We start from the raw sequence: 27173 nt of genomic DNA on the forward strand, positions 1-27173 counted from the left end.
CCATGGCAGAAGGCGAAAGGCATATCTTACATGGCAGCAGCCAGAGAGCGAATGAGAGCCAAGTGAAAGGGGTTTCCTCTTATAAAACCATCAGATTTTATGAAACGTATTCTCTACCACGAGTACAGTATGGGGGAAACCACCCCCATGATTCAGTTAACCACATCAGGGCCAGACTAGGACCATTCAAAATCCTGCCCAAGGATCTGTGTGGAATGGACGGCAGGAGAACCAGCAGCAGAGAGAGAGCTGCAGCTGGAAGAATATGTATTACTTGCATCACAGTTCGGGCAAATGCTCCCAAGATGAGGCCTTCGAAGAATTCTCCACGTGAATCAGCTCAAACATCTCCAAGTGTCACCTCAGAATTTAGCAGGGGAGTCCGACAACAGTGCAACATAGATCACTCTGGAGATATAAAGAGCTAGGGGGACATCAGATTAAGTCTTCTTGCAGGTCAATTTAAAAGTAAGGCTAACAATAGAAATTGGCTCTCAATGAAAGGTGGGCATTAGCTAAAATGAGAAGCATTTGACTTAATGGATGCTACAAGAAGTTGAGGGGTGGTCTGCATTTACCTGTGATTCCTAGACTGGATAAACATCAGAATCATCTGGAAGCTCCAAACCTACAGAGATTGGGACTTAGTAGAAATCAGAAGCTCAGTTACACAGTACCTGAACCCCCGCAAGCTCCCATGTAATTCTGATGCACTAAGATTCAGCATTTAGCAACCACGGGGTGATCTCAGCAAAAAGATCTGACTTGTGTTTATGAGGGCCTGGTTGGCTATGTTGTAGCTGTTAATGGTTTTACTCAAAACAGTATGCAAAAAAAGCCTACCAAAAAATACAACCACCATCTCTTCTTAAATGAATTATTTTTTATTGCTATTTTATAAAGCTTAATATTTTCCTAAAAATATTAGAAAAAAAATCAGAACAAAAAATCAGTTTACATGTAGTACAGTTACAAGTAAATAGCTATAGATAATATAGCCATTAGGAAAAAGAGCAGAGCTAAATAATAAGAAAACAAAAGCAGTAAGCAGCAATAAAATTAATACCTACATACAACTAGCAGTGCAATAAGATAAGCAGAAAGCAGCTTTACGTTAAAAGAAAGTTATTTAAATACAGAAATAGCACCTTACAAAAAGGAATTGAGAAATGTAAACTTGGTAGGTAGATTCAAGTATAAAAGTTATACCCCCGACTCTTGTACCAGAATGAAAGGGTTTTACAAACCCTGGTCAGTGTAGGGCACACACAGCCTCTGTGACAACTCAAAAAAGCTGCATTCTCTTAGTAGGACCACCAACGATTATTTTTTTCTTTTACTAAATTATACAATAATAGACTCAAGATTGCCATTGCTTCTTCACTACCCAAAATATCCAAGTCTAGCGCAGCAGCTTCAATTCCACCAGTTGTTCTGTAAGATTTATTTTCCTGACAGAAACAACCACTGCATTATTATTTTTACATATAAAGCCACATTAAGAAGTGGATACTGAATACAGAAGCAATTGTCCTTGGTTTTCTACTCCTAAGAATGGTCACCAAGTCATAATATCCTCACCAATGGGACTGCTTCTTAACACCCCTCAGGAATTATGAATTCTGAGGTTAAATGGTCATATCATGATCAGAATAATAAAAAAAGATAGCAAAAATGTTAAAACAAGTATAGAGCATTCAGGAACAGTGAGGGGAAAAGCAATTTCTGTTTCCGTCTAAATGCAGACCTCTCCATGAAATATTTTGTGGAAGTTCTTAAGCATGGTAGAATTAACATGCATATACCCTGCACAGATTGAAACCTGAAAAAGGTATATTTTTATTTGTTTTGATAGGGAACCCATCAGTTTTAGTTCAGGGTCATTTAACCATGCAATTGTTGATGGTTAGAACCACATTTTTAACCTAACTCTATAGAAGACTGTAAAAAAGAAAAAAAAAACTTGTAAACTTTAAAAGTTTAGTGTTGATAAAAATTTTTATATAAGTAGCAAATTTATTTAATGTAGCTACCTACCTCAAGTTTTAAAAAATCTTGTGGGGGTAATAAGGCTAATATTATCCTGTAGTTAATATAAAGCTACTTTATTCAGACTCCCAGAGTCTCTTAAATTAATATTTTCATTCTTTCATATAACATTTTATTGGGTCAAAAAATAAAAATAAAATAAAACCCTACACCAGGATTCTACATCTAAGATAGTTTTAAGAGAGGAAGAGGAAGGAAGAAAAGAAGTAGGAAGGAGGGAAGGAAGAGAGAATGAAGGAAAGTAGGAAGGAAAGAAGGGAACCATTTACTCTGAAGAGACAAGAGAGAGGTAAATATCAGCAAGTCTAGGAATACAAAGAACTAGTATAGTTTGGCGACTTAATGCACCCCTAAAGTAATGTGGGTTAAAAAAGGGAAATTGCATAACAGTTTCCAGAATTGTATTCATGCTAGAACAACCAACCCGTGCGCTCACCATTCTCATTTTTCAGAGGTACCAACTAACTACAGTTTGAATACCCTTGGATATGAAACATATGTCCATTTTCCCTCTTACTCTTCTGGACATGAAGTAGAAGAAAAACAAAAGAATCATCTCTTGCCCTGTATCAATTTTCACATCATTACTCTTCAGAATTCAACGAAAAGGTCTCATCCAGGTTCCAATTTTCCATATAATCACTTTCTACCATCCTGATTTATTTTACAAACAGCAATTGTTAGAAGGCATCCATATCTGATGGCGCTACAGCTAAATATTTAAATAAAAAATGCAGGGCATGTAGTGAAGGAAACTGGGCACAGTAGGATTTTTAGAAACAAACAGTAATATCTCACTGTTCACACAGTTATTTGAGAAGCAGCAGTTAGGCTGCTAGAGTTCTAGAGTTCATCTTTGTTCTCAAGCCCACAGTCAGGGTTAGCACAGTTCATTTACAGCAAGGTGTGTCATTCACAGTTATTTTGGTCTTGACATGTGTCATGTAGATACATTTATCCACATTATTACTAGGTTGTAAAATAAGTGCAGGGCAAATTATAGAATAAAAGTATAAACATTCAAGTCGTCATACCCTGAAAAAAATGTGTTAAAGACTGTAGTTGTAAACTTTTTGCACTAAATCCCATTTCAGGAACAAAATAAATAACACCATAGGATTCACAACTGAAGGTGGCTTCCTGATGAAGCCTAAGGAAGCAGTAGCTTTTTTAAACTGCAGAAAGGAAGCTTCTCTCACCACAGATTTACTCAGGGCAAGTGGAAATACATGTTAAGAATGCTTACCCTAGTTAAGTGCTAGACAGCGCCCCCCTTTAGAAAAACAAGGCTCCGGTAGCCTATTCAGATCTACTTCCAGAATAAGACGATTCTTGAATCAAAACCATAAGTCAGTCGGCGCTTTCACTGTGACACCATGCAGAGTCGGAACTCTAACTGGTATTAAATGCACAATTAATTACTTTCAGGAAATCAGATGATTGATGGTGGTGGGAAGTTAACAGAAGTGTGGATGAAAGAGAGAGGAAGGACCCGTGCTCAGGACGGGATGGTTTGCATCCCGCCTCGGACATCCGGGACTCTCAGGGCGTTTGATCCCACCCCCACCTGGCAAAGCGGCAGGTTAGTCAGCGCCGCCGCTGGGGATTTCTAGTCTCCTCTGGGCCGAGCTGGTGTTTCGTGACTGGTTCCTTTCTCTTCTCTTCAGGACAGGGTCTCCAAGGCTGCCGGGTGTCTTGAAAAACGTCTCACGATGTGTGCGTTGGATGCTCTTGGGGGTCACTGGAACTGGTGACTGAAAAAAGAAAAAAGAAAAAACAGAAGTGAAGTCATATTGTTTCTGATCTCTGAGTAGAAAGGCAGCCCTTTCTTGACCTGTGTGTTAGGATCCCAAGGCAGGCGTTCCTTCTTCTTTGCTTTCTTATCACACTTACCCCGTTTGTCTCCCCTGCTTACCACAACTGAAAATTAAATTCATATTTGTTGTTTTGGGTGCAGAAAGGCAGTCTACCAAAGAGGTATCTTTGGTATCTGGAGCCAGGGACTGGGCTCTGCCACTGTGGACAAGTTACTTAAGCAACCTGTCCCTCAGTTTCTTCCTCCATCCAACGGCGATGGTAAAATTACTGACTTCACAAGGTTGTAGGAATTAAATAAGATAATTGTAAAGCACTTTAGAGCATGTGAGGCCAACATGGTTTGTGTGTTGGCTCTTTCTCTTTACTTGCTAATATTTATCCCCTAATGTTAAATGTTAAATATTTATTCCCTTAATGTGCCATAAAATGGCAGGGACCATTATCTTGTTCACTGGTTCACTGCTCTATCTTCACTGCCTAGATCGGTGCCTGGCACATGGTGATAGAAAATTCTATGTTATGCTATAATCATCTTGTTTCAAACCTAACATGTTCATTTCAATGTCTCGCAAACTTTTGAGCCTCTGAATAACTTGTCTAAAATATTTTTGGCTAAACATAATTCTTTGTCTGGGAGAGTAAGTAATCACTGTGAACAACCTAATGTGTAATAGGAATTCAACGAATACTTGAACTACAAATGGAGGTTGGGGGACAAATATAGACTCATTAACTTATATTGATAACGTATCTTTGTGTATATTTGTATGTTTTCTGCGTATGTATAGATGTATATACATCTATGTATTATAGATGTATATACATACAGACATTATACACACACACAGTCTCTAAACATCACATCTTAAGAAATGACTGACAGGCTAAGAATCTCTGAGTTACTATCAAGACTTCTGTTTCCTTTGATTGTTTTTATAGCTGTATAATTAAAATTTAGGGTAGCTTCTTTTATTGACCTAGTGAAATAAAAGCTTGAAGATCACCAAAATAATAAAAATATTTAGCATTCCTCAAAAATCCCCCCGAACTATGCCTAAAACAGGTCCCTCTAATTATAAGAAACAGAATGACAACTAAAAACATACATTTTTGTCTTTAAAGCACAGGATCTCTCACCTCATGTCTCAGTGCTTTATAAAAGGAGCAGATAACTCTAGGTCTACAACGGAAGCCAGGTGGAGCCTGACCTAGTGCCTCTGTCCGGCAGTCATGTGGCTAAAATGAAAGCTAAACACAGGCATACCCCTTCCCAGAGTGACAGTGTCTTCAGGAAACTTCAGGCCTCACCTGATGTAATTTTACTACTGAGACTGGATGTCCCACGTAAACGGGGGACTCAGGTTGTTGGACGACACTGTGTGACCTTGACATCACTGGACTTAGGTTTAGTGAGGGCTGACTCTGAAGCTGAGGGTCTGCAGAAGGGAGTGTGGACGACTTTGGATTAACCACAGCTGTGGGGCCGACGAGAAGCTGGGCTATTGATCCAAGGCCAGGCAAGCTGAAATTCACAGGTCCTGTGTTTGGGAGAGCACCAAGAGTAGAAGAAACCGGGCCCGGCATTGCAGGAGAATAGAGAACAGGAAAAGGGCCCAGAGGTGGAGATGGTAAGACCATGCAAGGGACACTGAAAGACGGCAGCTGACCTGAGGACGGGCCCACAGTAGGGGGGGTTTGACTGCCAGATAAAAGTACATTGAAACCATTTAATCCTGAAAGAAAAGCAGAACAGGCGAAAATCAATATATGTCATCATGAGGATATCATTCAAGCTCACATTTGTCATGGCCCTTTCAAACGGGAGTCCACAATAAATCAATGAATGATGAGACCTTCCCCCAGCTGACCAGGCCAAACAGCCCACACCCTGCTCCTTCACAGCTGTGGCCAAGATTGTAATCCCACATTTATCTGTGTGATCATTTAGTTGGTGCCTGTGAAGTTTTTAACATGAGTTCCACTGAACCCAAACTGAGAAGGCAAAAAGCTTAGATGGGAAAGATTACATCTTTATTTTTATTTATTTACTTATTTTTTGTTGTTTTGTTTTGAGACCCAGTCTTGCTCTGTTACCCAGGCTGGAGTGCAGTGGTGTGATCATGGCTTACTGTAGCCTCACCCTCCTGGGCTCAAGCAGTCGTCCCATTTCAGTCTGCAGAGTAGCTGGGACCACAAGCATGCCACCACACCCAGCTAATTTTTTTTTATTTTTTGTAGAAACAGGTTCTTCCTATGTTGCCCGGCTGGTGTCAAACTCCTGGGCTCAAGTGATCTTCCTACCTCAGCCTCCCAAAGTGCTGAGATTACAGGCATGAGCCACTGTGCCTGGCCAAAATATCTTTATAAGTTCCTAACTGAAAATTTTTATTTCCCTCAATTATCACAGGCAACAAATTAACAATTTTAACAGTACCTTGACTTTGTCATTAGGAAATAGTACAGATATGTGCATATTACATTAAACCTATTACAGATTTCTTAATATACTGTTAAGCTCATCACAACTTGGAAATTTTGACACTATTGGGCTTGCTGCCAGGTCTTTTTATTACTATCAGTAATTTTAAAAATGATTTTTCTAGTTGCATTCAATATAATTGGCTTCCTTTGTAATCCCATGTATTTAATTCTATGCATCCGTAACATTCTGAGGAGGAATTCATGGCCTTCACCAGACTGCCAAAAGGTCCATGGCACAGAAAAAGTTAAAAACCCCTGTGCTGGGCTGTAATTTTCATTCAGCAGGGGCTGAATCTATTTTTGTTCATTTGTGTATCCCCAATACTCAGTGCTTAGAGAAAGCACTAAAAGATACTTACTAAAGAAATAAAGAATTTTTTCTAGATAAGTGAATAATCATAAATACTAACCTAACCTGTTCTAGCAGGTTAGGCTTAAGCCAACAAGGAATTGAGGAAAATCAATTTAGATATCTTTGCATCAAGAGCAGCTTTATGTACAAAGTACATATTTTTAAAATCTGGCATCTGTATTTCGGCTTTAATACAAAATAGTAACAGCATTTATTGAGTCTTACTAAGTGCCAGGTGCTATTATTCTAAGTGCTTTAGATGTATTATCTTATTAAATTTAATTCAATTTTCACAGCACCCATATGAAGCAGGTGCTATTATTACTGCTGTTTAACCAATGAGGATGAAGAATACTTAAGTTCACGCAGATAATAAGTGGTTTTAAATGTCAAGCCCTCTTACTCCAGACCTGGCACTTGGCCACAATTCTATATACTCAGTACCTCTAGATGTTCAAGACCTCAAAACACTAGCTGCATGCAATGGCCAACAGGTTCACACTATTATACTAAACCAATGCTAGACTCAGCTGAATTACCGTGCTTTTTCACCAAATAATGTTTAATGTATTTTTTTTGAATCACCTGCCTCAATTATTTTCCCATTACTCCTGAAGTTGGTGAAAGTAGAAGCAGCTTCTCCCTTCATTTATAGATGGAGAAAACAAAGGGGCTAAGAGTAAAATGACTCAGGCACATCAATAAGCCACTTTGGGTCAGGTGACACAGACAAAAATTTAAAAATCCAATTCTTGATCTGACTGCCGCAAGGGACTCTAAGACATGATGACATCCCTTACCTGCAGGAGACTGCACACAAAGATATTGTAGCAAAGAAGGCTCTTTGGTGCTTTCATTTTCTTTTGAAGGCTTTTCAACATCTGTATTTCTTGAAGGATTTCCCCACTCAGAAGAAACAAGAGAGTTTGCTGTTGCCTTTCCTGAAATCTCTTCTGCAGCAGGGAGTTGGCCATTCACATGAATGTCTTTGAGGGGTATAGATGCCCTGTTACCCATAGTCTTGGGAGAGGCAAGGTCTGTGGAATCTGAGGGTTTCTAAACACAACCAAACCAGGAAGCAAGAAAGTAAGTTAAAATTCCAGTAGTAAATCTCTCTTTTTTTTTTTTGAGATGGAGTCTCACTCTGTTGCCCAAGCTGGAGTGCAGTGGCACGATCCCAGCTCACTGCAACCTCTGACTCCAAGGTTCAAGTGATTCTCCTGCCTCAGCCTCCCGAGTAGCTGGGATTACAGGGGCATCCCCCATGCCTGGCTAATTTTTGTATTTTTAGTAGAGATGGGGTTTCACCATGTTGGCTAAGCTGGTCTCGAACTCCTGACCTCAGGTGATCCGCCCGTCTCAGCCTCCCAAAGTACTGGGATTAGTAAATCTTTTTTTTTTTTGAGACAGAGTCTCGCTCTGTCACCCAGGCTGGAGTGCAGTGGCGCGATCTCGGCTCACTGCAAGCTCTGCCTCCTGGGTTCACACCATTCTCCTGCCTCAGCCTCCTGAGTAGCTGGGACTAGAGGTGCCCGCCACCACACCCAGCTAATTTTGTTTTGTGTGTATTTTTAGTAGAGACAGGGTTTCACTGTTTCAGCCAGGATGGTCTCGATTTCCTGACCCGGTGATCCGCCCGCCTCGGCCTCCAAAGTGCTGGGATTACAGGCATAAGCCACCGCGCCCGGCTGGGATTAGTAAATCTTAATAACAGCTTTCTTAATATTGCTAACACATAAAGGTAGCATATAGCTGCGTGCCACACTGATTTGTGTATGTCAGAGGTTTCCACTGTATTTGTAGGAATGGTCTGAAAAGGTCATGTCCTGTGCATTGATAGTATTGTGATTTCGAAGTAGAGAAATGACAAGAGATTTTAGCAATGGAAAACTGGCCATGGTGGTTAGACTGTGAAATATATTTCTGAGCTAGTAACACACATAAAGGGTGTTGATACTAGTCTTTTCGGGTCTTATAAGAACTGTGGGCTGGCCCAAGATGTCTTGGTTACCTAAGACATATGCCAGTCAGTCTTTCACTTCTGATCTGCAACCCCAGGCTATCTACAAAATGAGAAAAATTCACTCTGGTAAGAGAAAAAAAATAGAGAAAGGTTCTTAATTATTGTAATGATTTCCACGAAGTGTGCCCAGCCTACCTACTGCAGACCACTGTAATGACAGTGCTCCTGCTTTCTGGATTTACTGGTCATATCTCATTAACCTCTGAATGGCTACTAAGCAGGAGATGTGGACAGCTCATACTTTTGTTCTTTTCATTTTGAAGCTAGGGAAACAGGATCACTGAACACTGAAGAGAAGTGACCAAGCATAAGATCTGATAGCCAGACAGCACCCACATTCCTCCCTCTGGAACTCAGCTGCATCCTGGATTAAGATGTTTATTTCAGTGATCCTAATTTGTTTTAAAAAAAGGATGTAAAAAAGACTGGATGGAAATATATAAACATGTTAATAGTGATGCCTCTATGTGGTGGGATTCTGGGTAACTCTTCTTTATACTTTTTAGCATTTTATAGAAAGTGTGAGTTTTATAAAAATCACCTTTCTTATGCACTATTTTAAGGCAAGATTTTTGGCAGAGCCACTCCAGTGCTTAATTATGCAAGTGACATGAAACAGCTCCATATTCCAGACTCCATTGCTTATTAATATCAGTGTATCTTCATTAGGAAGAAGCTCAGGGCTAACAGGATGTCACCAGACACATCCACCTGCACTCCCTTACCTTGGGCATGACAAGCGACAGCGGGCCGTCTTCATATTCCCTACTTTGCCTTTTAGTGGCTGGCTCATCCTCCTCCTGAGGTTTCCTCTCCTCACAGAGGCGCTTCTGAGCTGAGGGTGCAGATGACAGCTCTACTGTGGCTGGGGCTTCTGAGCTTCTGTCATCCCTCTCTGACCCTGACCCTGACGCTGGTCCCTCCTGCAGACTTCCATACAGCATGAACAGTGAGGCAGAGGGCACATACACTAGAGGCTGGCCAGCAAGGAGTGCTGGCTTCAGGCTCTCCACAGCAGAGGCTGCAGAAGCAAGTGAGACATCCACTTGTCCATTCAGACCGTTCTGCATGGAGAATGCCTGCAGGTCCGTCTGAGCAACAGAAAATACTGGGTGGGCTAAAGGATTAACACAATATTCTGGGTCAACAGAGAGGACAGGGAAAGGAGCAACAGGGTCCAAGCTGCTTGATGGAGGCACCACTCTCTTACTGGCAAAGGCTTTTCCCCTATAATAAAAAAGAAACGTAACGAAGTTAGCACATTCTACCAACTCCTGACCCTTTACTTTCCCAAAGACAGCCATGCCAAATCAAGAATGAGATAATACTCCTCAGGCAGATACGAAAGCGCACTTGCTGAGCACGTGTTAGCTCATCCCAGAGTTAGACGCCCAGGTATGGCCTGGATAAATGGTTAGGATGGGGTGGGAGAGCCGAAGTGGGAAGAGCCATTGGAATCTCAGGTGAGAGTGAACATTCATTCCTCCTTCATCTCTTCCACATCTGATAGTTATCAATTATCAAGCACTTACACCCTTGCCAGGCATGTACATACTATTATAATTAGCATTAATAGTATAACAATTTTATGCAATTATTATAATAATAGCTACTCTCATTTCCCCAGTTTACTAGCGAGGAAGACTGAAGCGCAGAGGTTGATCACCCTGCCTCGGGTGAGCCAGCTCTGAAGTGAGAAGCTGGGCCCCATGCCCACATCTGTTTGATGGCAAAACCCATGTTCTCAGTGACTGTGAGAGACGCTGGGAGAGTAACAGAGACTGGACTTTGATTTAAAAAAAGATTAATCTCATTTGTCTCATTTCACAAATCCAGTATGAAAGAAATGAAGTGGACAGTGAGGAAACAAACTTATCTTCTAAATTATTATTTTCTGTCATTCTTGTCCCATTCTGCTCGGTGTTATTAACAAAATTTTAGGCAGCACACAATCAAAATTAAGTCCCATAAATGTACAAGTTTATAGGCCAGCAGGGTGGCTCATGCCTCCTGTGGGGGGCCTAGGAGGATTGCTCGAGCCCAGGAGTTTGAGGCTGCAGTGAGCTACGATCACGCCACTGCACTCCAGCCTGGGTGACCCTGTCTCTAAAATAAGAAAATGAAATAAATAAGATATAAACAATGTTTGGGCCTTTTGTTTGGAAAAATTTCCAAATATTTAAAACCATGTTTATGTTCTTAGTATATTTTTAGGAATAGAGAAGAACGATCCTTTAAGAAATAGGAACAGAGGGCCAGGCGTGGTGGCTCACGCCTGTAATCCCAGCACTTTGGGAGGCTAAGACAGGTGGATAACCTGAAGTCAGGAGTTCAAGACCAGCCTGGCTAACATGGCGAAACCCCGTGTCTACTAAAAATACAAAAATTAGCTGGGCATGGTGGCACACGCCTGTAATCGCAGCTACTCTGGAGGCTGAGGCACAAGAATCGCTTGAACCCGGGAGGCGGAGGTTGCAGTGAGCTGAGATCATGCCACTGCACCCCAGCCTGCGCAACAGAGTGAGACTCTGTCTCCAAAAAGAAAAAGCAAAAAGCAGAAAACAAAACAAAACAAAATAAAAACACACAACAAAAAAAACAGTAAACAGAGGACCAGGATTTCTTTCCGTCTTTCTGATGGAATCATGGAAGACCTGTTTTGCCTACCATCTCACTGCCTACTGCGCTGCTGAGAATAAAATGCAGTACCCTGGGCCGCAGAGATGAGTCATCTCTCCAATCAGCTGCCTCTGGTTGAGTAATGGGTATTGCTCAGCTCTGTGAAACTGAACATGCCCACCCTGGGTATATCACCCACCATCCCTCCACCCAGCCATCCACCTTCAACTTCTCCATCTCCACCAATGACATCACTATCACCTGACATGCAGACATTCTTTCTGATGCCTGTCTCCTTTAGCGAGCCCTGCCAACTCACTGTCTCACACTGGTTTCCCTTTCTTTCCACCTCTGGTGAGCACAGCTCAGCTCTGCCCTACAGCAGACCAGAACGACTACAAATGCTCTGTTCTGTGGCCTGTCTTTCTCTACTCCTAATCCCACCTGCAAAAAGTAGCCAGGATGATCTTCATCAGTGAACCTCCAATAGCTCTTTATGGTTTCCCTGATGAATCCAACTCTTCTCTGGCTTTCAAAGCTTTTTGCCAACTTGACCTACTTGCCTCCAACACCTAACCTCTTTTGCTGAATGATTTTTCCTTTTCCTGTCCTGTTTGGACAAACCATGACAGCAAAACGAGCCAGGCTTTGGTATCTTCTGCTCCCTGGCCCTGCCTTGTAATCTGCTTCTTCCCACATCTGTTGTTAAACACTTTTCTAATTACTCTGTTTAGCGTTTCTTCTGCTTTCTCTGGTGACACATGATTTCTTTCAAAATTGGGCCCCAAATTTAAGTCAGACAGCCTGGGTATGAATCCCAGCTTTGTCACCTATTAGCAATGTGACTGGGCAAGTTACATAACCTTTTTGCACTTCAGCTTCCTCTCTGTAAAATGAGGGTAATACCTCTCTGTAAAACCTCAAAGGATTGCTCTTATGATCAGATGAGTCAATATACACTAAGGCTCCTGGAACGGTACCTGGTAGTTAGTGGCAAAACCAACTATGATAATGATGAAGTGATTCATGGAACTCTGATACTTCATTTCTCAGGGTCATGTTAATTATGAATTGTCTCTTTTCCGTGTTGGTCTTTTTATCTTGTTCCTATAAGCCATCATAGCTTACAGGATACATTTTTCATACTTTTGTATCCCTGATGCTACTTCCTGCACAGTGTAGGGCACAAAGAGAAAACTTACCAATTCCTAACAAATAAACGGCTGACCTAAATTTTTTCTTTTGATGGGTGGCACTGCAATTTAGTCAAAGTTAACACTAGGAGATAGAAAAGAATACACTCTGAGCTTTTATAGACTACTTACTGTGAATTGTCTTCTATTTTCTGTCTATAGACAGCTGCCAGGCTTCCAATTTCTAAAGAGTAGCCACCTGATCCTGAAAAGGAAGATGAAGGCTTAACAAATATAGCAAGAGACTTATACATACCAACTATATACTGAGAATTATCTAGCTGAGAATTCATTATTCTCAGCTCAAAGATTACTCAAATCTGTTATGGTTTTGATTCAAAGAGAAATTTTCAGTAGCTAGCTGTTCATGAATTCAGGTCTCATTAAGAATTCAAAATAAGCCTGGGCAACACAGGGAGACCCCGTCTCTACAAAAAACGAAAAATTAGCCAGGCATGGTGATGCACGCCTGTGGTCCCAGCTACTTGGGAGGCTGAGGTGGGAGGACTCTTTAAGTCTGAGAGGTCAAGGCTGCAGTGAGCCGTGATCATGCCACTGTACTCCAGCCTGGGTGACAGAGTGACCTTTCTCTCAAAAGAAAAAGAAAAAGAAAAAAGAAGTATTTAAAACAAGCATTGCTTTAAGTCTAATGAATTTCTGAGATACATCAAATAGGGTCAACTATGCCAAACCAATTGGTCTACAAGGTGACTAGGATCAATTTTAGGCAAGGGGTCATGTTCATAGACTGTGATATCAGCATCTCCTTTGCTTCCAATAATTGTTTCACTTCAGCTAAGTAAAAAGTAGACCACTGGAAAAAACAGCCAGGGCTGAGAGTCAGTTTGTTTTAAAACGCCAGCACGTGGGTGCTGCACTGGCATGGGCTACAGCTACATGGCAACTGATGGACTCCATAGATTATGCAAGGGCAGATACCTTGTTCTTCTCTGTACGGGCTGCTCGGTTCTGAGTTCACTTTCCTCTGGATCCTCTCAGAAGCCTGAACTGTGTTAAAAGAACCATGGCGAGCCAGCTTCTGTTTTGCACAGACTTGAATCTGGCCATATGTTTCTCTTTTCAATTCTGGTAAGACAGATGCAGAAACATCCACCAGTTCTTCATCTACATAAACGAGAGAATTGGTAGTGTTGTTATACAGCTGTAATTCAGGATAATTTTCGTCTATTTAAGAGATGGCTTTGAACCTATAATTGTAATGGAGCTATCACCCTATAAATCAAAAACTAAGACAATCAAAGGAATTTTATGAGCCTTGTCTCAAACCCCAATTTCTTTCAATGTACTTTTTTTTTTAAGTTAGTGGATGACTATAAAATGAGATTGAATCCATATATATTCTAAAATTATCTGAATTGCAACAGAAGTAGAGCAAGATGTTCTTCAACCCGAATTAGAATGAGCCTCACATTTTAGATGCTCTATTTGAGCAGAGAGTATCAAAGGAAAGCCCGACCATGCTCAGCCCAACATGCATATTTTGAGATTCACTTTCAAGATTAATTGAGATCAGCTTCCTATGCCACAGACCTACAGCAATGAATAGGAGAATCTCTATTTTCTGTGATGCTTTATTATTTCTTTCTTATGCAGTAGGAGGCTCAGTTACTACGTGACCAAAGGAATAAGGTCAGCAGAAACCTCATGGTTGAAATGCTGCAGAACAGTGAGATAATAAAAGGTTAGGCCCTGGAGACACAGTTTGTGTTTAACGGAGTATATGTGGGGTTAAGACACAACTTTCTATATAGACTGAGGCAGCTATCCTTGTTGTACAGACAGTCATCTCTACCATATTCATTTGTGCTGATGTTTTTCTAAGCTCAAAGCATGCACATTTTAGTTAGAGGATTGATTTAATAAACTGAAAGGCCCAGCTGGACTTATATTTTCTAAAACATGCGCTTTCACATTAATGCAACTTAAAAATGAAAAACAACAACAAAAAGTCACCTTCACAGTTTTCTTTTTCTTACAACAAAAGCCCAATTAGAAAAATCAGAAATTACGAAATCAAAAAGAAAATAGGTCAAGTCAGTAATAGGGGCCATATCTGCCTCCTTCTTGAAACAAAATATTGGACATAATGCATAAAACTGTGGCTCTCAACACATTTGGACATCAGGACATGAAGGACAGTGATCTCTGTGAGACAGGAATCAAATAGGGTGAGCTCTATAATGATTTTTGCTTACTGCCTGGAGAATGTTTCTAGGTTGGGATGAAGGGAGGGGGACCTAGACAGAGACTGTAGGTCTCCCTAAGTTGAGGATAGAGCTGGGAGTCCTGGAAAGTCAAGGCAGCTAGGGTTTGCAGGGCAGAATGCTGGAGAGGGGAGCTATACAGAAAGAGAATGCTGGGGATTTGCAAAGGTCCAAACTGAACCTTCAGTGGAGTACAGATGCATGTGAGAAAGATACCCAAGGCCAGGGAAAGGACCATTCAAAAGCACTAGAGGGTACAATGCAGCTCATATAGGACTGGGAAAAGTGCCTGTTGCCAATGGCTACAGTAGAAAAACCTCCTAATTCAGGAGGCATTTGTTAGTGTACTAAAAAGGGTGTTGCCCCAGTAATGGGGAAAACGTACTAAAGACTAAAAGCTGATAGAGTCTTGCTAAGCCAAACTTAAAAGCAAGACCCAAAAGCATCACTGTTTCCATGTAACTTCACCACATCCCAGAGCAAAGCTCAAGAACATTTTTAGGAATACAGAAATGTCTATCACCTAATAATGTATAATTCTCAGTGTCTGGTATACAACTGAAAATATTACCCACAATGAGGAGAAAAATCAATTGAAATGGACCCAGAAGTGACGCAGATGATAGAGAAGTAGACCAGCACACTAAAACATATACTAGTATTGCATACCATAAATTCAAGACACTAGGGGAAAGACTGGATATGTTAAGTCTTAGAGACATCAAAAATATAAAGGCTCAAATCAAACTTCTAGAGATTAAAAAAAATACAGTGGGGGGATGAAAAATACAGTGTATACATTTAATGGCAGATTAGAAATTGTAGAAATAAAGAATATGAATAAATGAATAAATAAATGAAACGAGAAAAAAGACAGAAATGAACAAAGCAAACTGTGGGACAACTTTAGGTAACCAAAAGCAAGCATAAGTGGAATCTGTAAAAATAGGAGGGGACAGGAAAAATACTTGATTAAGTAATGGCCGAAAATTTGCCAAATTTGATGAAAACTTTAAACCCAAAGATCCAAGAAACGCAACAAAACCAAGTACACAAAACATGAAGAAAAGGACACCAAGTCATACATCATCAAATCGCTTAAAACCAATCATAGAGAGAAACTTAAAAGCAACCAGGGAAAAATGCCATGTTACATATAAAGAATAGGATGATGGTTGATTCCCTGCCAGAAACTATGCAGGCTAGAAAACAGTGGAGCAACTTCTTTAATAAAAGGCTGAGTGTGTGGGCTCACACCTGTAATCCCAGCACTTTGGGAGGCTGAGGTGGGATGATTGCCTGAGCCCAGGAGTTTGAGATTGCAGTGAGCCATGATCATGCCATCGCGCCACTGCACTCCAGTTTGGGTGACAGAGTAAGACCTTTGTCTCCAAAAAAAATAAAATAAATTTAAAAAAAGGAACAAAAGGAAAAAAATCTTCAACGCAAAATTCTTTTATTTATTTGAGACAGGGGTCTTACTGTATTGTCTAGGCTGGGCTCGAACTCCTGGGCTCAAACAATCCTCCCACCACCTTCCTCCCAAGTAGTTGGGACTACAGGCATGGGCGATACCACCTGGCGTCAACCTAGAATTCTCCATTTTTTTTTTTTTTTGAGACAGAGTCTCGCTCTGTCGCCCAGGCTGGAGTGCAGTGGCGCGATCTCGGCTCACTGCAAGCTGCGCCTCCCGGGTTCATGCCATTCTCCTGCCTCAGCCTCCTGAGTAGCTGGGACTACAGGCGCCCGCCACCACGCCTGGCTAATCAGCTAATTTTTTGTATTTTTAGTAGAGATGGGGTTTCACCGTGTTAGCCAGGATGGTCTCAATCTCCTGACCTCGTGATCCACCCGCCTCGGCCTCCCAAAGTGCTGGGATTACAGGCGTGAGCCACCGCGCCCGGCCCAACCTAGAATTCTTTACCCAGCAAAAATGTTTTTCAAAAGCAAGGGCACAATAAAGACATTCTCAGACATACAACAGCTAGAAGAATTCATCATTGGCAGGCTTGCACTAAAAGAAATGTTAAAGTTCATCAGGCAGAAAAAAATATTAGATGGAAACTTACATTTACAAAAAAATGATAAGCACTGGAAATGGTAACAACATGGGTTAGGGTTAGACAATTTTCTTATTAAAGTTTCTTCAAAAGGTAATTAACTGTGGGCCAGGCATAGTAGTTCACACCCCTAATCCTAACACTTTGGAAGGCTGAGGCGGGTGGATCACTTGAGCTCAGGAATTCGAGACCAGCCTGGGCAACATAGTGAAACCCTGTCTCTACCAAAAAAACAAACAAAAAAACCCCAGTAACACACTATGGGGTTTGTAACATATATAGCAGTAAAATGTTTGACAACAATGGCACAAAGGCCAGGCAGGGAGAAATGAAAGCAAGTTATTGCAAGATTCTTGTACAATACATGTAGTATACTATCACTTGAAAGTAGACTGGGACAAATTAAAACTGTATACTATAAACCCTAAAGGAACCATTAACATAACACAACAAAGAATTATAGCCAAGAAACCAACAAAGGAGATAAAATGGAAGCATAAGAAATACTTATAAATCCAAAAGAAAGAAAAAGAGGAAAAAGAAACAATAAGCAAATGGGACAAACAGAACACAAATAGCAAGATGACAGATTAAAATCCAAGTAGATCAAGAATCATATTAAGTATAAATGGTCATTAAATAACCCAACTGAAAAGCATAAATGGTCAGATTAGATTTAAAAAAATTCAACTATATACTGCCCACCAGACACTCACATTAAATAGAGACAGAAATTATTTAAAGGATAAACAATATATATTATGCTAACTAATAAAAAGAAAGCTGAAGTGACTATATCACTATGAGACAAAGTAGATTTCAGAGCAAAGAATTATCTCCAGGAATAAAGAGGGTCATTTTATAATGATAAAAGGGTCAGTTCATCAAGAAGACAGTGATCCTAAATATTTATGCAGACAGAGTTCATGATAGAGCTTCAAAATCCATTCCACAAAACTTTAAAGAACTGCAACAAGAAACAGACAAATCTGCAACTATAATCAAGATTTCAATATCCATCTATCAATAATTGCTAGAACAGGTAAACATAAAATCAGTAAGAATATAAAAGAACTGGACATTTATAGAACGTTCCACCAAACAACAGAATATATACTCTGTATATTTGTGTATATTTACCAAGATGGACTCTATCTGTACCATAAAACAAGTCTCAATAAATTTAAAAGATTCAAGTTATACAAAGTATATTCTCTGGTTACATTAAATGAAATTAAAAATCCCTAAGAGAAAGGTATGTGGAAAATCCCAGAATATTTAGAAACTATATGTTACATGTCTAAATAATTTGTGGGCCAAAGAAGACATCAAAAGGGAAAATACAAAGTATTTTGAATTGGAAGACAATGAAAACACACATATTGACATTTGTTAGATACAGCTAAAGCAGTACTGAGAGGAAAATTTATAGCACTAAATGCTTATTGGAAGAGAAGAAAGGTCTCAAATTAATGATTTCAGCTTCCACCTTGAGAAACTAGAATAAGAACTCAAAGTTAACTCAAAGTTAAAGGAGCTATAAAGAGATAATCTGAATAGCTCTATAGCTATTAAAAAATTGTAATCTGTAGTTAAAAACCTTCTCACATAGAAAGTTTTTAACTACAGATAAAAACCAGACCCAAATGACTTCACTGGAAAATTATTTATTTATCAATTCTTCACTGATAAATTCTTCCAAACGTTTAAGGAAAAAATAGTAACAATTCTACACAAACTCTTCCAGAAAACTGAAGAGGAGTAACTACTTCCCAGCTTGTTTTAAGAGGCCAGTATTAGCATGACACCAAATAGACAAACAGATCAATGCAGCAGTTTGGAAAGTCCAGAAACATTACCATACATATATGTCGTCAATTTGTTTTTAATAAAAGCACAAAAGAAATTTACTAGAGAAAGGATAATATTTTCAACAAATGGTGCTGGTACAACTGGATATCCATATGCAACCTCCCATCCCCTCAGAAAAGCACCCCATTGATCCATACCTCACACCACATGTGTGATCTTGTGTTAGGCAAAGATTTCTTAGATAAAAACTGAAAGCATGTCCCACTAAAGAAAAAATTAATAAAAACTAATACATTAGTGGACTTCCTGAAGATTAAGATCTTCTGATTTTCAAAAGACACTGTTAAGAAAATGAAAAGACAAAGCCACAGATGGAGAGGAAATATTTGGAAATCATGTATCTGATAAAAAGACTTGTATGCAGAATGTATATACAACTCTCACAATTCAGTAATAAGAAAGCAAACAACCCAATAGCAACAAATGGACAAAAAAACTGAGCACACACTTCACCAAGGAAGATAAACAGATGGCAAAACAGATGTTTAACATCATTAATCACTAGAGAAATGCAAATTAAAACCAAAATGAGATACCACTACACACCTATCAGGATGGCTAAAATTAAAAAGACTGACCATATCAAGTTTTGGCAAGATATGGTTGAACTAGAACTCTCATATACTGTTGGTAGGAATGTAAAATGTTATAACTGCTTTGGAAAACAGTTTGGAAGTTTCTCAAAAATTTCAAACATCCACCTACCATACGATGCAGCCTTTCCATTCCTAGGTATTTACCCAAGAGAAATGAAAACATATGCCCATACAAAGACATGTACATAAATAATCACAGGAGCTTTATTTATAATAGCCTCTTCAGTAATAAAAATAAATTACTGAAACATGCTACAATATGTATCAATCTCAAAATAATTATGCTGAGTGAAAGGAGCCGGACCAAAAGAGTACAGGTTATAGTTGATTCTCATTATTCACAGTAGTTATGTTCTATAAAGTCACTGCAAACACTGAATTAGCAAATACTGACCCATTGCTTCTAGGGGACATAAAGGGTTAGGTTCCTGTGAGCCTCTGGTTACAATATTTTCATAAGCTGATCAATATATGACCTTGTTTATGTGTGTTTCTTTTTAAAGAAACCTTGTTTAATATTTGTTGTTGATTTATTAACATTGAACTTGGCCAACAGTACTGTAACTCATGCCTGATCAACGCTTATATAACACATGTATATTCTCCATAAGGCACAATGCAGCTTTCTTGTGCTAAGAAACACTAGACAGCAATATTTGGGAGCCAAAAAGCACAAAAATGTGAAAAAGTGGCACTAAAAAGACTGCAAACAGAATGCTGGCTTATGGTATGAGAGCTGGAACAAGAAGGCAGAGTACCGCCTGATTCATCTGGGAACAAGTGCATTGGGAGACCCAAATTCTCCACCAAGCTGTGCATGACCACAACTGACTGTGGAAACACCCTGAGTACCGACTTTGGAGTTAAAAGTACATTTTAGTAAGTAGACAGATTTGCAAATATGAAATCTGTGAATAACGAAGATCAACCATACATGATTCACTTACCAAAAAATTATAGAAAATACAAACAAACCCAGAATGACAGAAAGCAGGTCAGTGGTTGTCTGGGGATGGGAGTGGGGACCAGGAGGGAGGAATTACAAAGGGGGCAGGAGGAGGCTTTTGAAGGTAATGGATATGTTCATTTTCTTGATGATTTCACAGGTACATACCTATGAAAAACTTATCGAATTGTAACTTTAACTTCCTGCCATTTATTGCATATCAATGATGCCTTGATAAAGCTGTTAAAAAGAAAACACTATTCGTAATACACTGTACCCTGCTGGTAGGAAAGAAGAGGAGAAAGACATTTATGAAATTTGTGAGGAATTGCTAGCCAAGGGGTGAAGGAGAGTGGCTCAAGGAATCAAAGGAAACTTGATGTTATCAGTAATGAAACTAGGGAATACAGAAAGATCAGGTTTCTGGAGGGCAGAGAAAATACGTTCAATTTAATATTCCTGACTTGCCTCCAAAGTCTTTCTCTCATGTCAAATCAGAGTTCTCCCAGTTCTGTCCCTCCGTGCAAATACACGAACTCCTCGACTTCTCAACAGCCGCTCATCTTCCAGCTATCTTACTTTCTTCTTTTTTGAGACGGAGTTTCACTCTTGTTGCCCAGGCTGGAGTGCAATGGCGTGATCTCGGCTCACTGCAACCTCCGCCTCCCTGGTTCAAGTGATTCTCCTGTCTCAGTCTCCTGAGTAGCTGGGATTACAGGTGCATGCCACCATGCCTGGCTAATTTTTTATTTTTAGTAGAGATGGGGTTTCATCATATTGGTCAGGCTGGTCTTGAACTCCTGACCTCAGGTGATCTGCCTGCCGTGGCCTCCCAAAGTGCTGGGATTACAGGTGTGAGCCACTGTGCCCAGCCCAGCTATCTTATTTTCTTCAATGGTACGACCACCTTTGAGTCCTTCCTCTCTTTTAATCATTGTCTGAAGACTCTTGGTTAATTCTGTCTATCACATCTAGTCCAAATTTCTTGCCTCAATTTTTGAGGCCTTCCAAAAATGCAGTCCCCACTGATCACATTGTATCTCATTATTTTCTATCCCATGTTCTCTTCATGCCTCCAAAATCTAACAGCCCATCAGAACTTAATCTGTATCCTCTCTGAATGCCTACAGAGCCAGTACCACCCCGTCTAGCATGTAATTGCTCTCCTAACTTTCAAATGTATGCTAACTATATGCCTAATTATAGAAGCTCATTAACCAACTAAAGTGAGTAAGGCACTGTTCTGGATACTATGGGGTAATCAAGGATAAATAAAGATAATGTCTGGTCTCAAATGTGTAGGGCAGGGACGACACCACCATATCTACCTCACCCAGCACAAACAGCACAATACTCAATTGCAGTTGTTCAGATGAGACACTCTGCTCTGGGCTATCAGGAAAACTTCATAGAGGAGTTGACATTTGAGCCAGATCTTGAAGGTTGAGAATATTTTCATGTTAAGAAGAGGGCTTCACAGGTGAAAAGAACGGGAGAAATCAGAGGCAGAAAGGAGAAAAAGGCAAAGTTGTATGCTTCATGCAGGTAGGGACTGTGTTACCCACATCTTCAATCTCTCAGGGCCCTTAATATAGTCATTGGCACACAGTCCACACTCAGTGCATACGCACTGGGTTGAATTTGTTATACTTGATTTTAAGTGGTTTCATCTAGATCCTAAGTGAATAATGTGCTACAAGTGAGGTGGAGAGCTATATATTTATACGCCTGGGTTAAGTGGCTCACATTTACACCACTAACACCAAAATTGGAAGGGTAATTTAAAAATGACTTTAATGGCTTTTTCCCAGGCAGTACAGCTATATGTAAAATAGCTGGTGCAGTTGGATCTAGTCCCTGATTGCTCATATATTACCCATGAAATAAGTAGAAGATTAATATCCTCTTTGACTCCAGTTTTGTAAAATTATGATATTTATAACCTTTTAAATACAAAAAGTCCATTACATCCATACTATATTTAGATGCAATCTTAACCACATCTTTAGATGTAATTTGTTTTGTGATGGTAACTGATGTGATTTTTACTCATAATTTTACTTACAGTTTTTACATTATGTAGAATTTCAAAGAGAAACCACGTTTTACTCTGCTAATGTAGCAACAACTGGAGTTCAAAAGAGGTGTCATTTTTAATTCTCGGTCCCAAACTTTCAGGAAAAAGCTTCAGAACAAAGAGCTGCAAATTAGTAGTTACAGAAACTCCCATATTATAAACACTCAGTATTTCCTTTCCTACCATGTGTGGGCAAACCAGCATGCACAATTTGTAGGCTAATGTTAACTGTTCCAAGAGTGGAGTCACTAGTCTATTTTGTATGTGACATGGGAAAAAGATCAGTCTCACTGTGTAGTAGATGTGAGACTTGGAAAAGGAACTGAGAATTCTAAATAAAACAGCCTGCTAGCAAAACCACGCCACCTTACCACTTGAGCTGAAGTCCACAGGCCCGATCCACTTGAAGGCTGGTTTACGACCTCGCTCTTCTGTTACATGCACTTTCTTTATCAGAGCCAAGCTGGTCAGAACATTGGCTATGTCATAGAGGCGTCGTACCTTTGCTTGAAGATATAAAACACGATTACGGTCATGCTGCCTGTGACACCATGACAGTTTAGTTTATGTGACAGGTAACTTTTCTCGGCTGCCATATAAACCTCAGGTGGAAAGCAGCAGGTTGGGATGAGGAGACCAGTGGCTCTGTCATAAAATCACCCAGGATTTATGTACCTGCAGTATCTGAAGGCTAAGGGAAGGTCAGTGTGTCCTTCCATTTCCACAACTTCACACCTCTTACAAGAGGCACCTGGCGACAAACAGGGAGCACTGTGATTGCAAAAACACCAAGGGAGGGAATGGGCTGTAATTAAAAGCTTAGTAAATGTAATTCTGACATGGCACGTCAAAAGCATGCCCTGAGTTTCTCCAAGCAGGAGACTGTGGCGCCAGCTCCACAAGGCAGCTGGTCTGTGAAAATGACAAAGATTCCCCAGAGCTTCCTGCCAGGCTGCACTCCTGGGCACACAGGATGCTCAAGGTCAACAGTACAACTGTACTAAAGACAGGCAGCTCCTCACCTGAAATTGTAGCATTCTAGCCACCCAGTGAGAAGGGGTTGGATGGGCCTTGCCTGAATCTTAAGTGGCTTTGGGAGAAACACTTAAATATATACAAAGTACAGGAAATACTCAGAAGGGGTGGTAGCACATGAGACAGGCACGATAATGACCACAAAGTATTTTCTATTCAAGAAATTGATTTACAGGTAGGAAACCCACTTGACCTCAGTGTTAAGATCAAGCAAAGGAGTTTGAATTATCATCCAGAAATAGGAAGCATTCACCCTGGATGCAGCTTTCTTCTTCCCAATCCTGATTTTATCTAGCTATTTCACCCATAGGGTGACTGTAATTTCAGCTGGAAACAAAAAATAGCCAGATGTTGCAGCTCATGGTTTCCCAGGGCTTACAGGCTACCAGCAGCCCAGGGCATTTGGCTCAGTATCCAAGATGGACAGAAAAGGAGGATGCACTGGGTGTGATACTTGGAAACTCTCTCCCTGTCCATGTCCCACCACCCTTACCCTGGCCATTCTTCTGGTTCTTACCTGTAGACAATTTTCATCTCCACCCTTCAGAAGAGTATGCAGGGGGTGGGGAAAAAAGGGGAAAGAAAACTCAGACATTCTGTCTTGGATGCAGCAATACTAAAGAGAAATGCAAAATAATTCACACCCTCCCTGACCGGAGTTCTCAGGATAGTGTTCTGTTTTTCACTCTACTGAAACCACCGAGGAAAAGGCACTGACAGGACTCTAAGCTGAATTCTAGTAGGTGACTAACTTACCTCTCACAGCACCAAAAACCTTGATGAATGCAGGAAAGGAGTATGTATGTCAAAAACAATATATATATTTTTAATCTTGGAAGCAGAAAATATCAACACATGAAATCCCACCCTTTATGTGCTAGTAAGTTGATGGAGGTGAAGATTCTTACTTTTAAATTTACTATGGTCTGGGGCATCTTGGCTTTCTTCTATCAGTATTTTGGCAGCCACATCCAGAGTGACAATCTTGGTTTTGGAGACGAGGAACAGCATGACAAACTTCTGGCTCATAATTCTCAGAGACTTGTCTTTTCTACTGTTTGCAGATGCTACACAAGGAATGAAACAAAAGCATCAAAGTATATGATTTTCTACAAGAAAGACTATACTTGCAGCTTGCCAAAATGATCTAGCCCTATCAGCAGATGGAAAGATCACCCTTGTCATTGGCAGAAGCTTACTGGATACACATCACAGAAGTCAGCTCAGGAAGAAATGAGGCAGATTTTCTTGTGGCTTGTAAAATTACTCTACAGTAGGCATAAACTCTGAGATGCATATTTTAAACCACTCAATGCTTTACACTTATACTTCCTATAATAGAATCCATACGGTAGTTTTCCTGAAGCAACTTCTTGGAAAGATTAATGTAGAAGGATAAAAAGATAGGGTGGGAATACAGAATTGTTTTCAGAGCCTCAACTCTCCTCTCAAAGGCAAAAACTCCATTTTTATTTCTCTGTGTCCGCAATATCTAGACTATACCCTAAACATAGAAGATGCCCGCCTCTTCCACTTCTTTTCAGAAATATGTGAATAAATGAACTATATATAAACAGGAGACAGATTAGATATGTGCTCCTGTGGATGGCAGGCAAACCATCCCCAACAGATGGCTGTCTTCTCTGGTTATTAAGATAAGTACTGGCTCATGGGGTGGAACTAAAAGGCAGGAGGCAGTAACTCTAATGAAAACCAGGCCCACCTTTCTTTCCATTTCTTATATTTGCAAGTGAGACGTGATACTTGTACTTTGTCATCTTAGCAACAGGGATGAAGATCAATGGCTAAAACAAGAAGAGGCTAAATATGAATCGGGAAGAACGATGCCGATGTAAATAAAAATTCTGCACCAAATGAAAGCAGAGGTTGTCTGTCTTTCTTATCAACATTTTCTGTGAATGGAGTTCTTTTCTAAGTAGTCTAAGTCTACTCCAGTATATAATTAGATAAAATTCTTTGAAAATATAACTTTTTCAAAGTAAATCTTACAGTTGCACAAAAAGAACCAGCATGGGGCTGCCAATCTAAAAATGGGAGTAATGCTAGTGATCTATTCTCCCAACAGGCCAAACTCGAGTGAACTGCCATGAGCCAGGTTTATTTCAATGAGGTCAAGTGGGCAGTCCAGTTGGGGAGCCATCTGCTTCTCTTTCTTCAGTGAGGAGAATAAGAGAACATCTCCCTCCAGGGTTGTCAACCTGGCACTTCCCATCTGAGCAGTGAATCTGCAGAAGAGACCATCACTTGCTCTTTCTCTGCCATTACTCATGAAGTTACAATGGACTCACAAGAGGGACAGTCGGGTTCAGAGAAATCCAGTAACTGTTGTTCCTGGGAATCTGGATCACCATCTTTTTTACGTTCTCCAAATTTATAATCTATCAGGTCCAGCTCTTTCTGTTGGAGGTAGGCCATTTGCTCTTCATATTTCTGCTCCTCTCCTAGTCTCTGGAGGTTCCTCAGGGTTTTTGGCAGGCTGTGCCGTCCATGCCAGCCATACTGATTCTTAGCCACCCGGCTGACCAGATGCAGCGACTCCAGCACATTTACAATGTCATAGATGCGTCTCCTTTCCACACCTGTTTGAAAAACAGAGGCTGATGGACATCATGCAGACAAACATTTTTGAAGAGAAGTTCCTTGAGGGCCTGGACTATATCTGTGAACTACTTTGTCTGATCCCCAATATAATGCCCACTGCGTGGATGCTCAAGGAATTCAACCTGTAAGGATGCAAGCAATATAAATTATTTTTCTTTTTCCTTCTTGAGATCCAACCCTTAAAAAAATCTAAGATAAAACATCTATCTAGAGATGGTGACATTTCCATCTGTCTGACAAACAGTACAGCAACTGCTCTTTAGACCCATTAGGCAAACCACGCGAACATTTCAGCAGCTGAAACTGGTGGCCTGAGCAATACATGTAACAGTGTGCCTAATGGACACGTGATAAATGGATGGTTGACTGTGACTTGTGTTCCTAATTATGCAGACTACAAAATCAACTGTGTCCAATAACTGACACTTCCCTATTAGACAATACTGTCTATCCTTTCGTGAAGTTCCAATGATATAAAAAAATTACCTTGATAACGCTCTCAATGGACCAGTAAGGAAAATGGATGCAAATATTATGTTTTCTATTTTGAACTGGAAATGCAGGTGTCAAGGGCTTGAATACCCTTCTCATATTGCTGAAAGAAGCCAGAGCTGGGGTTGGAACAACATGGGAGTCTCCTTTTGTTCATCATGGCTATAGACAATTCTCTGTGTTCTCATTCACCGTAACCCGGCAAACAGCCCAAAAGTGAAACACAGAGACTCCAGTACAAGCTGATCACGAAGCTCCGCAGCTCACTACTCACTTTCCCAACACTCCCAAGGCAGCTAGGATTATAAACTGTCCATTAAACCTAGCAAAAATACTTATAGTTGTTAAGGGTGGGGGGCTCTTGGGTCAGACTGCCTACATTTGAATCCCTGATATATCCCTTACTAGCTGAGTGATCTTGGGAAGTTATTTAACCTTTTTGTGCCTTTGTATTTATCTTATATAATAATGAGGATGAAATGTAACTGTAACTGTAGAGTCCCCAGTAGGTGTTAATTTTAAATACATACTTTTGTCATTCCTTTTGGCATGACATTCGTTATACCTAAAATCCCTGCTAGCATAAGAGGTCATAGTAGAAACAGATTTTAAAAATCTCACGTCTGTGACTCATTCTGTTATCCAACAGGCCCTTGGGCACATAGCAAAAGCCTCCAGGCATCTTGCAGAAAACCAGCCCAGCTACAAAGAAG

The 27173-nt window shown here is 40.3% G+C and overlaps 1 protein-coding gene across 3 annotated transcripts in view, besides 1 other annotated feature; it reads right to left on the minus strand.

Moving 5' to 3' along the window:
- Nucleotides 1-868: 868 nt before the first annotated feature.
- Nucleotides 869-27173, minus strand: part of E2F7 (E2F transcription factor 7) — a 44319-nt gene continuing 18014 nt past the window's right edge. For 2 of the 3 annotated variants that reach the window (NM_203394.3, XM_011537969.3), the window contains 9 exons: nucleotides 25656-25946; nucleotides 24255-24413; nucleotides 22683-22817; nucleotides 13475-13660; nucleotides 12668-12740; nucleotides 9449-9950; nucleotides 7501-7756; nucleotides 5176-5600; nucleotides 869-3803 (listed from right to left, as the gene is read on the minus strand). In NM_203394.3, coding sequence (NP_976328.2) covers nucleotides 3633-3803; nucleotides 5176-5600; nucleotides 7501-7756; nucleotides 9449-9950; nucleotides 12668-12740; nucleotides 13475-13660; nucleotides 22683-22817; nucleotides 24255-24413; nucleotides 25656-25946 — 2198 coding nt within the window. In that variant the 3' untranslated portion in view covers nucleotides 869-3632. The remainder of the gene's footprint in view (nucleotides 3804-5175; nucleotides 5601-7500; nucleotides 7757-9448; nucleotides 9951-12667; nucleotides 12741-13474; nucleotides 13661-22682; nucleotides 22818-24254; nucleotides 24414-25655; nucleotides 25947-27173) is intronic. The other variant, XM_011537966.3, reaches the window with a different exon arrangement.
- Nucleotides 11670-12869: an enhancer, noted in NCBI's record as "P300/CBP strongly-dependent group 1 enhancer chr12:77425832-77427031 (GRCh37/hg19 assembly coordinates)". NCBI's record gives its function as "activates an origin of replication core promoter dependent on BRD2, BRD4, P300/CBP, MED14 and CDK7 cofactors, with strong dependence on P300/CBP, by STARR-seq in HCT116 cells {active_cell/tissue: HCT116}" and the evidence as "EXISTENCE:reporter gene assay evidence [ECO:0000049][PMID:35650434]".

This window comes from Homo sapiens, chromosome 12 (genome assembly GCF_000001405.40).
Source record: "Homo sapiens chromosome 12, GRCh38.p14 Primary Assembly".
NCBI lineage: Eukaryota > Metazoa > Chordata > Mammalia > Primates > Hominidae > Homo > Homo sapiens.